The sequence below is a fragment of the Homo sapiens genome, chromosome 3 (assembly GCF_000001405.40).
Source record: "Homo sapiens chromosome 3, GRCh38.p14 Primary Assembly".
NCBI lineage: Eukaryota > Metazoa > Chordata > Mammalia > Primates > Hominidae > Homo > Homo sapiens.
The window spans coordinates 15,306,583-15,319,162 of record NC_000003.12 but is presented as its reverse complement, the minus strand read 5'-3'; the positions used below and the strand labels follow the sequence as shown (position 1 = coordinate 15,319,162).

At 44.9% G+C, this 12,580-nt stretch overlaps 1 protein-coding gene and 1 non-coding gene across 8 annotated transcripts in view; one reads left to right on the top strand and one right to left on the bottom strand.

Moving 5' to 3' along the window:
- SH3BP5 (SH3 domain binding protein 5) overlaps positions 1 to 12,580 on the top strand; it is an 87,028-nt gene that overhangs the window by 22,218 nt on the left and 52,230 nt on the right. The window lies entirely within an intron of this gene.
- On the bottom strand, positions 2,441 to 2,543 carry LOC124906370 (small nucleolar RNA U13). Its single transcript, XR_007096337.1, has one exon. It is a non-coding gene; the product is annotated as a small nucleolar RNA U13 (small nucleolar RNA).

The following is a 12,580-nucleotide window of genomic DNA, read 5'->3' as shown; positions in this document are numbered from 1 at the left end:
GGCATGGCTTCAATACCTATTAGAAAAAATTAGTGGAGCCTAGAGCCAGAGGTACTACAATAATTAGACTGTTGCTTTGTAATTCAGGGTGGTAGGGTTCTAAAGCCCCTTGGGCTATTCCAGATAGATGTGCTGTTTTCTTTCCCTGCCACTGGTTTTGCTGGGTCTTCTCTGGGGAAAGAGAGTCCCGGTATTGCATTTATTTGATAGAAATTAAATCTGCTTCCCCACTTGGAACTTGTTAAAACCACACTTCAATGTTATGAAACTTCGGGTCAAAAAAGCATAGGAGGCTGGGCGCAGTGGCTCACGCCCATAATCCCAGTAGTTTGGGAGGCCGAGGCCAGCAGATGGCTTGAGGCTACGAATTTGGGACCAGCTTGGCTAACATGGCGAAACCCTATCTCTACTAAAATACAAAAAAGAAAAAGTAGTAACCAGGTATTGCAGTGCATGCCTGTAATCCCAGCTACTTGGGAGGCTGAGGCACAAGAATCGTTTGAACCTGGGAGGTGGAGGTTGTAGTGAGCCAAGGTCATGCCACTGCACTCCAGCCTGGGTGACAAAGCGAGACTCTTGTCTTAAAAAAAACAAAAACAAAAACATAGGAAAGCTTTTTTTTTTTTTTTTTTGGAGCTGACAGAAACTAAACTACATAGCTGCATAGCATATGATGGTGGAAAGTGTGGGCTTTGGAGCTCAGAGCTGGATTTGAATTCTCTCTCTGCCTCTTAATGTGCCGTACAGTCTTGGTAAGTTATATCAGCTTATCTAGGTTTAATTTCCTTCTAAAATGTGAAGGGCAATACCTGTCTTACCAGGGCTGTTAAGGGTTAAATATGGTGATGTTCGTTAAGTGTCTGGCATGGTACCTGGCATATATGTCCAACAAATGTTGATCCTTTCCTCCTCCAGCCCCTTAGCCAGTTATTAAATAATGGCACCTAAGTAAAAATAACCACTATTTTGTGAAAGGTTATTATATGCTAAGTTTTGTGCTAAGTGGCTACTATAGTTTATCCTATTCATTCTCACAACAGTCCTTCAGAATGTTGATGAGAAAGGGAGACACTGAGTGAATAAGTCAATTCTCTCAGGTCACACAGCCAGGGAGTGGTAGAGCCAGGATGTATAATGAATCCAGAAATCTGAGGCTGGAGCCCATACCCTTAAATAGTTTGTGTTTGGAGGCATAGCAGATGCATATTCTGAGACCCCCACTGAGGCTGCTTAGATGAAAGAATGCTGTCTAGGACTTGGGGGACCAGGTTTTCAATCTTTGCCCTGATATTAATCAGGTATAGCTCCTTGGGAGAGGATCTTTATCTCCCGAGATTTCAGTCACTTCATCAGTGAAATGGGAGCATCTAAACTAAAAGATGGGCACACTTTTTTCCAGCCCTGATATTGTTTGACTGGGATCTGCATTCTGATCTAGCCACATGTTGAATAAATTTTGAACCACCTTTGTTCTTGACAGCTGGAGAAATACAAAAGCTCTGTAGTCAATCTATGCTGTAATAGACTTAAAATTTTATTTTTGTTGAAACAATACTTGAATATAGCTTTTTTAAAAGAGCCCCTGATAAGTTATAATGAAAAATGAAAGTCCTCTACCTCACTCCCCCGCACCCCTAGTTCTATTCCAATGAAATGATGTTTTTAGTTGTTCCTTCTGGTCATATCTCCTGTGTCTCTAAAGTTACAGCCATTGACTTTGACTTTGGCTCTTTTGCATCCTGTGCTCTCCTTTCTTAACATTTTGATTAGCTGAAGGCAGGAGGGAGGTTATCCAAAAGCCAGAAGAAGTCAGCCAGCCAGCCTGCCTGGAATGCTGTGGTGGGTGGATGTGTGATTCCTGTGCAGGCTACACTAACTGATCTCTAGAGCTTTCTGAGGCTGGGCCATGAACTCGCCATATCGCCCTGATTCTAAGACTTGTGCTAATTATAAAGTGGACCTTATATTTCATAACAGCTTGGGTGGTGGTTGAAACATCAGCCCAAATAAACATGCACATCAGTGGTGTAATCTGTCTGAAATCTAATGATTGTGAATTTTTGAAGAAAATCGTAGGTCTTGCAGTTGAGGACATATGTGAAGCCTCCTGGCGTAAACATGGAAATAGTGCTTTTGTGGTTGAATTCAGTAAAACACGGCTGTTTCAGCATTTCTATATCCTCTTACACAAAGAATCCTGTGGATTTAAGAACATGTGTTTGGCCATAAATGAAAAAGCACTGGGTCCCCCAGTCTTTCTAGCTGTGTGCATGAGCACGTTCTTGCTTATGTGCATGCAGGGTTGTTATGTAACTTCAGTCCATCCTCTCGGGCCTTGTAGGACTGACCCCTGTGCTTGCTGTCACGTTTAAAGGGCTCATGAGGTTTTTCTTTTGTTCATGGTGCTTTGTATCTTGGGCTTTTTTTTTTTTCCATTTCATAGCAGATGAGTAATGTGCCCACATCATATCATAAAAAAATTCGAGGATGGCCTATCTCACACATGAATACCCAGTCATCACACTTACGAACTACAAAAGAATCTACCTTGGGCTATTTTAAACATTTTTTTGTAATTGGTTCAATTCCATTCTGTTGCCTATGTAACATCAACAAAAAAGATGAACTGAAAGCAAGTCTTGGCTGGGTATGTGGTTCACACCTGTAATCCCAGCACTTTGGGAGGCCGAGGCCAGCGGATCACGAGGTCAGGAGTTCGAGACCAGCCTGACCAACATGGTGAAACCCCGTCTCTGCTAAAAATACAAAAATTAGCTGAGTGTGGTCGTGGGCACCTGTAATCCCAGCTACTCAGGAGGCTGAGGCAGGAGAATCACTTGAACCCGGGAGGCGGAGGTTGCAGTGAGCCAAGATCGTGCCACTGTACTCCAGCCTGGGTGACAAAGCGAGACTCCGTCTCAAAAAAAAAAAAAAAAAAAAAAAGCGAGTCTTTTCCAAATAACATTCTACAAAATAACTGGCTCATATTGTTTAAAAATTGAGGCTATGAAAGACAAAGACAAAGTTCCAGGTGAAAGAGTGTTAGATAACAAAATGCCAAGTGTGACTCTTAGATTGGATCTTGGACCAGGAAAACCATTTTTGCCCTTTATTATAAAAGAATTTAGTGGGACAATTGATGCAATTTGGAGAAAGTTGTAGACCAGATTAATAGCGTTGTACCAATGTTAATTTTCTGACTTTGATTATTATACTCTGGTTATATAAGTGGATGGCCTCATCTTTAGGAAATATGCACCTGAAATATTTCAGGGTAAAGGGGCATGGTGTCTGCATCTTTCCCTCATTTTTTCCAAGTTTGAAATTATTTTAAACTAAAAAGTTAAAGAGCCTTTTGCCCTAACTCAGCCTCCAAATAGCAGCACTTCCCTTTGGTTATGGAATCTTGACACAGGCCAAGGATTGAAAGGAGGGCTGCAATGTTCTAGGAGGTGGAACTGGGTGCTCACCTGCTTGTTTGGAAACCCTTCATAGTTAGATCAGAGTTCTAAACCAGACCCTTTCTGTCTAGGAGGGAATTGGTTCTACTTAGGCCTTAAAAGGGTCCAAGACCCTTGTTAACCTCAGAGGAGGGAAACTTGAAGGAGAAAACCATGATGACCCTTATATTTTCTTACCTTGTCTCTGTCCTCTTAGTGAAAGGAACCTCTTGGTGGTTCAGATAAGGACAGGCAGTGTGATGCCTTGGAAAGGGTTGGAGTGAAGAAATAGGATGTGGCCTAAAAGCTGTTGAATGCACAGGGCTTGCCCAGAGGGTCTGGAGCTGCGCGATGCCCAAGCTGGGATTAGACTATTCTGCATTTTGTCCCACAACCCACTCAAATAGCTTAAATTAAAGGGAGGATTTTCTGAAAGGTTGTAGGAGTCTCATGGAACTCAAGGGAGGGGAAGTGTCACTGGCTCTGATGCGTAGGGAAACCACATGTTTCAGTTGGCCCTGGGCAGTCTTGGTGGATGCTTGTGGTCCCAGCACAGTTATTAATAGTGCCTCTCCTTATTCTCAAAAGTGTCCTGTTTGATTGATACATCATATGACTGTGTTGTCACAGGATTAGAATCAGGAACCCGGGCCATCTCTCACTGCCCCTCCCATGCCACCTCATGGTTCTCTGCACATTTGCTTTTTTCTGTCTCTCACCTCTGTTTTTGTCTGTCTCTCCCTCCTCTGGTTTCCTCTGTTCTGATTCCTAAGAGAGGGAGTCTTGTATTGGAAACACGGTGGCAAGTCCTCACAGAAGGAAGTAGCAGGTCTGGCTGACACTCTGAGGGGCCCCTACTCCTGAAGTTGGTCAGGGACTGAGATGGGAAAAGAAAAGGACTCAGGGGAAGGGGAATTAGGTCCCTGGTTTCCAGCAGTGATCTTGAAGTTCTCCCCAACTTGAAGATCCTAGTATATTCTTCCTATTCCATTCCTTTCCATTTGTATTTGTCACCTTGGGGCTGTTTCACCTGGGTCTTCTAGTTGGATGACACAAACTGCTGTGGAATTGGGCCTATGCCATGAGCAGGAGTGTTGTGGCTGGCTCCAGCTCCCTGGTGGTCTTCATCCATACCCCTGCTCTCTACCTCTGCTTCTTCCTGGCTCCTACACCCTCCTGCCTTGGCCTTTCTGGTTTGGCTCCCTTGCTCCCCCACTCTGCCCTGGTGTACTCTTTGTGCTTCTATCTCTGCTGCAGAATTCTTAAGGTAGAATCAGCTTGCTCTGGCCCTCAGGGCTATGAAAGCCCCTCCCAGCAGGAGCTGGGACTGAGAAGAAAAACCAGACAGAGGCGGGAGGGAAGGCATCCTGAGGCCCCCAAAAAGCATGGCAGGATCTCTCAAAGCAGAAAAGGATCTAGGGCTAGGCCTGTGCTGTGCAATAGGGCAGCCACTAGCCACACGCAGCTATTTAAATTATCATTAAGTCTTTTGAACCTGGGAGGCAGAGGTTGCAGTGAGCCGAGATCGCGCCACTGCACTCCAGCCCTGGCGACAGAGTGAGACTCCATCCCAAAAAACAATTAAAAAAAAATCACTAAGTTAATTAAGTTTTAATTTTTTGAGACAGAGTCTCGCTCTGTCACCCAGGCTGGAGTGCAGTGGGACGATCCTGGCTCACTGCAGCCTTGACCGCCTAGGCTCAAGCAATCCCCCTGCCTCAGCCTCCCATGTAGTTGGGACTATAGGCATGCAGTGCCACACCAGGTTAATTTTTGTGTTTTTAGTAGAGATGGGGTTTCATTATGTTGCCCAGCCTGGTCTCAAACTCTTGAACTCAGGAGATCCTCCCACCGTGGCCTCCCAAAGTGCTGGGATTACAGGTGTAAGCCACCGTGCCTGGCCCCTTGAAGTTAAGTAAAATACAAAACTCAGTTGCACCAGCCACATTTCAAGTGTTTGCTTGGCCACAAGTGGCTGTGGCTTCTGTGTTGGATGGCACAGATGTAGCACATGTCATCGTCACAGAAGTTCCGTCAGCCAGCACTGGAGAGCACTTGCTCCCTTTTCACCCAAGCGCTATTTAAAGTGGTTTCTTTGTGTGTTCTAGTAGCTGCCACAAGTGCTCTTAGAGAATAGATTGGATGGGTGAAAAGAAAGCATGATTTGTATTAGGTTGGTGCAAAAGTAATTGTGGTTTTTGCCATTAAAAGTGATAGTGAATGGAACATTTCAGTTGCCTTTACCACTGGCCAGTAAGTCAGGATGTTTTCATAGTGCCTTTTATCATAGAATTCTAGTATGTTCCTGCTAATGGAGACTTTCCTATCATTCTAGGGCTGGATTTCCCTAACTCCAGTTATTCTGCTGCTGCCGCCATCATTTTTGCCACATCCTAGGACTGCATGTGCTATTTATTCCACGTTGTCTTTTAAATTGGTTCATGTTTTTACTTCAGAATTTTTTTGAGACATTTCGCTCTTGTTGCCCAAGCTGGAGTGCAATGGCATGATCTCGGCTTATGCAACCTCTGCCTCCCAGGTTCAAACGATTCTCCTGCTTCAGCCTCACAAGTAGCTGGGATTACAGGTGCCTGCTACCATGCCCGGCTATTTTTTTATTTTTTTATTTTTTTTATTTTTTAGTAGAGACTGGGTTTCACCATGTTGGCCAGCCTGGTCTTAAACTCCTGACCTCAGGTGATCCACCCGCCTTGGCCTCCCAAAGTGCTGGGATTACAGGCGTGAGCCACTGTGCCCAGCCTTACTTCAGTTTGAAAAGGAAATAGCCTTATTATAAATGGAAAACCATCAAAGGAAAATACATTTTTTAAGCAGGTGTTTTTTTTAAAGAATAATATATATATAGGAAGTGCCCACCTTGTCAGGGTACAACTTATGACTTTCAGAGTAATGTTATGTTGTTTCTGGTGGATTGTTTTCCTTATCAAATTCTAGCAGATTCCCCTCTTTACGGAAGGCTCTGAGCCTGGATTAGCTTCCCTTTTCTTTAAGAAAGAGATTAACAAACGTATACAGGTGCTGAAGACATTGTGGTACCAAATGGAGTCTTTCTCCCTGACAAAATCAGAAGCATTTAAAAAAGATCTGAGAAGCAACAACTGCTTCATTCTTATTGAAAGTACACTCTTGTCTTTGGTTCAAGAGGGGTTTATGTAGAGCAGGCCTGAGGGCAGGTGGCGTGCAGCACACTGGAGATTTTTTGGCTGCAGGTCCCCCTTCACATTCTTGGTAATCATTGAGTACCCCAGAGAGCTTTGTTTTTGTGGATAATATTAATATTTGCCATATAAAAATCAAAAGACATTTATTTCTAAGGTCTATATTCATTAAGATGACAATCAGCCTATTACATGTTAACAAAAATAATACATTTTATGGAAAAGGACTATTTTTCCAAACAGAAAATTCAATGAAAGAGTAATTGTTGTACATGCTTTCGCAAGTCTTTTTAATGTCTGGCTTAATAGAAGAGCTGGATTCTCTCACCTACTTCTGCATTTCATGTCATTTCTTGCCATGTCACCTGTCAGGTAGCTTCTGGAAAACTCTACTGAACGCTCAGAATGACAGTGAAAATGGCAAGTCTTTATTAATGAAAATGGCTTCCATCTTGCAGACTCCTTGAAAAGGTTTCCAGGTGCCCCACCCCCACCCCCACCAGTGGTTTCGCCAGACCACGCTCTGAGAACCACTGGTGAAGTGACTGGCACACTGGACTACAAGACTGAAGATGGCTGGTTGCAGTGGCTCACGCCTGTAATCACAACAGTTTGGGAGGCCGAGGCAGGAGAATCGCTTGAGCCCAGGAGTTTGAGACCAGCCTGGACAACACAGACCTCATCTCTACAAAAAATTTAAAAATTAGCCGGGTGTGGTCATACGTGCCTCTAGTCCCGGCTACTTGGGAGGCTGAGGTAGGGGCATTGCTTGAGCCCAGGAGGTGGAGGCTGCAGTGAGCCATGATTGCGACACTGCATCCAGCTTGGGTAACAGAGAGAGATCCTGTCTCAAAAAACAAAAAACAAAAAATACTGAAGATGTCTGCTTACATCTAACGCTTGACACTTGATAGTCCTGTGACTTTATGCAAAGACATTAGGTCACCTGGAACTCCAAGGCTCCAGTTTTCTTTGTTTTTCTTTTTTTGAGACAGAATGTCTGTCACCCAGGCTGGAGTGCAGTGGCGTGATCTCAGCTCACTGCAACCTCCACTTCCTGGGTTCAGGCAATTCTCCTGCCTCAGCCTCCCGAGTAGCTGGGATTACAGGCACCTACCATGCCCGACTAATTTTTGTGTTTTTAGTAGAGATGGGGTTTTGCCATGTTGGCCAGGCTGGTCTCGAACTCCTGACCTCAGGTGATGTGCCTGCAGCCTCCCAAAGTGCTGGGATTACAGGAGTGAGCCACCGCACCTGGCCTCCAGTTTTCTTATCTGTAAACTCGGGATGGAAATTCTGGCTGAGCCTGTTTTACAGGGTTGTTGTGTGTCTCAGATAATGCCTGGGAAACCTCTTTCTGCCAACTGAAAGTGGTATACTTGTAAATGGCATTAGTAAGGATCTTTTGAAGTTTGGTGTCGTCTCTAACATGTAGGACAGTTATTTTTAAAACATCACCATCCCATCTTTATCTCACTTAATTCTGGGGACACCTGTGAAGAGGAAAAGCCAGGATTCTCAGTTTCCAGGCAAGGTAATTGAGGTGAGCAGGTGAGCGATTGGCCAGAAAACACTGACTCATCCTGTGTGCTTCATGTTCAACCTGCATGCTGCTTCCACTGTATACTGGTGCTGGCTGGTGTGGTTTAGCTTGAGCTCTTATCTGACACAAGGCTGTTTGTCTGACACACTGACACAGTCAAACAGGGAGACTCTACCACCCCCAGCAATTCTTTGCTTGAATAAATTACCTTCAGTCTGAGTCACCTAATGGATGAAACACAATTTTCACATTTGAAGAGCTGAGGCCTCCTCCAAGCAGAGGGAACTGTTTAAGAACTCTTTCAAGTGCTGATCTAAAAACTCCCTTGGTAAACAGCCCTGGGATGGTAAACGGATTCTTTTTCTTGACTGGTGGAAGATCTGCTTGCTCTCTCAGATAAGTTTGTACTTTTGAGCCACTCCCCTCCATGGCTCATTTTCTGCAGGGAAAGCAGTCAGCTTACTCTCCTCCCTGGACATTCCTGAAGCCACCCCCACTCTGATCTTGGAAAACACATTTGCTTGTAATTGCAGGAGACAAAGGATCACAGTCAAGTCTTTTCTTTAAGAAACAAGACAGAAAGTCTAAGTTCAATTGTGGCAAGGTGGTTTTAAGATGTATTGAAAGAAATGCTTTATAAAAGCTAGGTTGAACTAAATTCCACAGACTCTGCTCCTTATACACATGGCTTTATTGTTAGGCTCTCCCCTCATGATGCCAGGATGGCTGCTATCTGCTGCAGGCTTTCATTCCATCCTCTTAAACATCTCAAGTGGAAGAAATTTCCTCTAACAGTTGCAGAAAGGTCCCGAAATGAAGTCTCATTGGTTATGATGGGTCATGTCTATCGCCCCTGCTCATCGAACAATCACTGTGGCTAGGAGTATGACTGTGGCCAGGCCCTGTCACATCACTAGGGACTGAGAGGTGGGGGTGAGGACCAAGGAATATTACGGCTGTAACACTGGGGAGACAGGAAAGATTTTGGTTTGTGGCCTCTCATACCTCAATACTTCTGGGAACTGTTACCCAAGTAGCTGTGATCCTCAGTGGAATGGAAACAACTGGGTGGGCTTTTTCTTATGGGGGGGGGGTGGAGCGGGGAAGACTGGCTTTGTGTTCAGTTTCAATGCATCTTTGATGAATAGGCTTGTTGGTGGTTGGAAGTCAGCCAGTCATGCATCATTCCTGGCAGCACAGCCTCATTTATAGAAGGAAACGCTGATGTCAAATCAAGTCTTCTGGGTTTAATACCCTTTGATGGTCACACACTTAGTACAGATAGTCACAAAAAGGGCATCAAGTCAGACTGGCAGGCCCTGAACCTGCCCATCAGAATCACCTGAGGAGTCTTTTAACATACTCTGCACCCAGGTAACAATTTTGTAAAACCTAAATTTGATCAGGTCATGCCCCTGCTTAGAAAAATCTATGATATTTTACAGTTGAAAACAAAAAAGCAGGCATGGTGTTGTACACCTGTAGTCCCAGCTACTTGGAAAGGGCAGGAGGATCCCTTGAGCCCAGGAGTTTGAGGCCACAGTGTGATATGATCATGCCTGTGAATAGCCACCATACTCCAGCCTGGGCATCATAGCAAGACTCTGTCTCTTAAGAAGACAAAAACCCCATCGATTCTCGGCCTTTTGGCTAAGATCAAGTGAAAACAAAAACCCAAAAAACCCCCAAAAACAAAAACACAAAATCAAACAAAAAGCCCTATACTATCCCATTCTCCCACCCTACCCCTGTTTTTTTCTCCCCTAGCCAGTTAACTATATTAGTTTAATGTATTTTAGCTGATGGAGGTATTTATTTCTATGACCAAGTAGTATGTATTGTGTGACTACTTCTTGATTTTTTTCATTTGAGTGACTATCTGTGGACATCCTGCTATGGAAGATGAGGTTTTGTCTCTTTTCACCCTCTGTCCTGTACTTTTCCCATCTGCTGTCTTCTCAGCAGAATCCATTGTGGTCAGTATTTGATTACTTTATTGCAGCTAGGTAAGTGCTATTCACAGTTGAGCCATCTAGTAAACTATGATTATGTTTCCTTTTTGTGGTAGAATGCATTCTTTAATTATTTCTGACAAAGGGTGCATTGGAAATAAATTACTTGAGACTTAAGTAACCCTATGGGAAGAAAACCCATCACATAGAACTAGGTTAAAAGGTTTGATTTTGAGATGTGATTTATGGCCAAAGGAAGAGAAATGGCAAGTAGAGAATAGCAGAGGGAGACAGAATTTCAGTGATGAACTAGCACCAGAAAATCTTCTGCAAAGAAAGAAACAAGAAGTAATCTCCCCTTCTCCCCACTGTGCCATGCCCTCCCATTGTTCATGGGATTGAGTTCAGATGCCTTTATAATGGCCAGGAGGCGTCCTTGCTCCAGCCCCTACCAGGCCAGCCCGTCCGTCCGTGCTGGAGGGTCGAATGTCCCCCTTCTCTGTCTGGTGGAATCCTCTTTCTTCATGTCTGACTTGGGTTGGGTGGCCTTCTCAGCCGTGTGTCTGTTGCTCAACGTGTGTAAGTAGTCTTAGCACTGCTTGAGTTTAATTGTTCACTCTGCCATTTCCCAGCTCTGTGACCATGGGCAAGTTACCTTTCTTTTCCTTGCCTCTATTTCCTCCTTTATAAAATGTGAATAACAACAATAGCACCTACCTGTTAGGATTGTTAGCGATTGCACAAATTGGTGGGGTTAAAGCACTGACAGTAGTGCCTGCCACATAGCAGTCAGTCAGTCTGTGCCCTGTATCCATCCTTCTTTCTCCACAAAGGCAGCGTTGGTGGGTTGTATTCACCAGTGCCCCAGAGAGCTCTCAGCAAATCAGATATCTTTAGCGGCTGGGCAGGGAACCTGAATGAGTGATTCAGACACCAGAGTGATAGGGACTGGAGAGGAGGGTAACCCCTGCCTAAGGGGGCACCTTCTGCTCTGCTTCTAGCTATTTTTTTTCTTTAAATGAAAAGTTTGAGAATTCATTTTTTTTTTAAATGTGAATTTTCCCTGACGTTTACTACACAGCATATCAGCCAAATGTACTAAGCTTATTGGCCCGTAGGCCACTGCTTTGGGGCTCAATTCTCATTTAACAGAGTAGGCCTGGGGGTTGATGTGACCGGCTGTAGGCCACACGCTAACCGATCTGGCCCTCCGTTTTCTCACTGGTGTGAATGTGGACAGCACTGGCACTGGCCACCACCAGGGAGGTGACCGTGAGGATGCGGTCATGCATGCGAGTGCATCTTGCAGAGCGGCTGCCTGCACAGTGGAACAGGTTATTATGTCCACCGTGTCAGCTGCCCTCGCCTCTGGGAAACTCCCTGGGTGGTTTTTAATAGGGTCTCAGGGTCTCTTTTTATACCAGGAGGAAAAAAATTGTATGCATTTATTGAGCACTGACTGTGTGCCCAGAAATTGTTAAATGTTTTACATTTGTATTCTCCTTGATTCCTTCTAAGAGCCCTCCCTATGGGATGGAAAGTAACAATTTTATAGGTAATACAAATGGTTCATAGAGACGGCCCTGATTAGGGCCTTGCAGAAAGAGCTTTAGTCAGCAGTGAATCTGTGTTTCTGATTAAAATCCTGGGCTTTGACAGCATGCTGCTTCCCTCTTATTGGAAGCCAAGTCCTGTAGAAGCTCTGTGGGGCTTCTCTATTCCTTGGGCCCTTCCCCTGGAGAACAAGTCTAGTCTTGTCTTCTGCCTGTAGAAGCTGCAGCGGATGACCCTAAGCCTGGTCTGATAAGGGAGAAGGCAGAGGAAATCAGGATGATGATGATGGCACAGAACCAGGGGAAAGGGGGCAAAGCCTGTGTTGGACATGGGATCCAGGCTCGGGAGCTGAGGTGCTCCCATGGGAGGTAAAGCTTTTATCCTCATATTTTGGAATGCCGGCGGCGTTTTCAAACCCACTAGCAAGCCAACAGCTTGGGATGATGGAATGAATTAGAACTGATCAGAGCCTCCTTTGCCCCCATGAAACCCCTGCAATTGCATGTTTAGAAATAAAATGTCGGCTGGGTGCCGTGGCTCACACCTGTAATCCCAGCGCTTTGGGAGGCCTAGGCGGGTAGATTACTTGAGGCCAGGAGTTTGAGACCAGGCTGGACAACATGCGAAACCCCATCTCTACTGAAAATACGAAAAAAAAATTAGCTTGGCGTGGTGGTGCACACCTGTAGTTCCTGCTACTTGGGAGGCTGAGGGACGAGAATTGCTTGAACCCGGGAGGCAGAGGTTACAGTGAGCTGAGGTCATGCCACTGCACTCCAGCCTGGGTGACAGAGTGAGACTCTGTCTCAAAATAACATAAAATTTTTCTGATAGTTACTTGTGAGGCAGGCCCCTCTAGCCAATGAAACACATGTTTTACCAGCAGGTGGGTGTTGAGTCTCCAGGCCCATA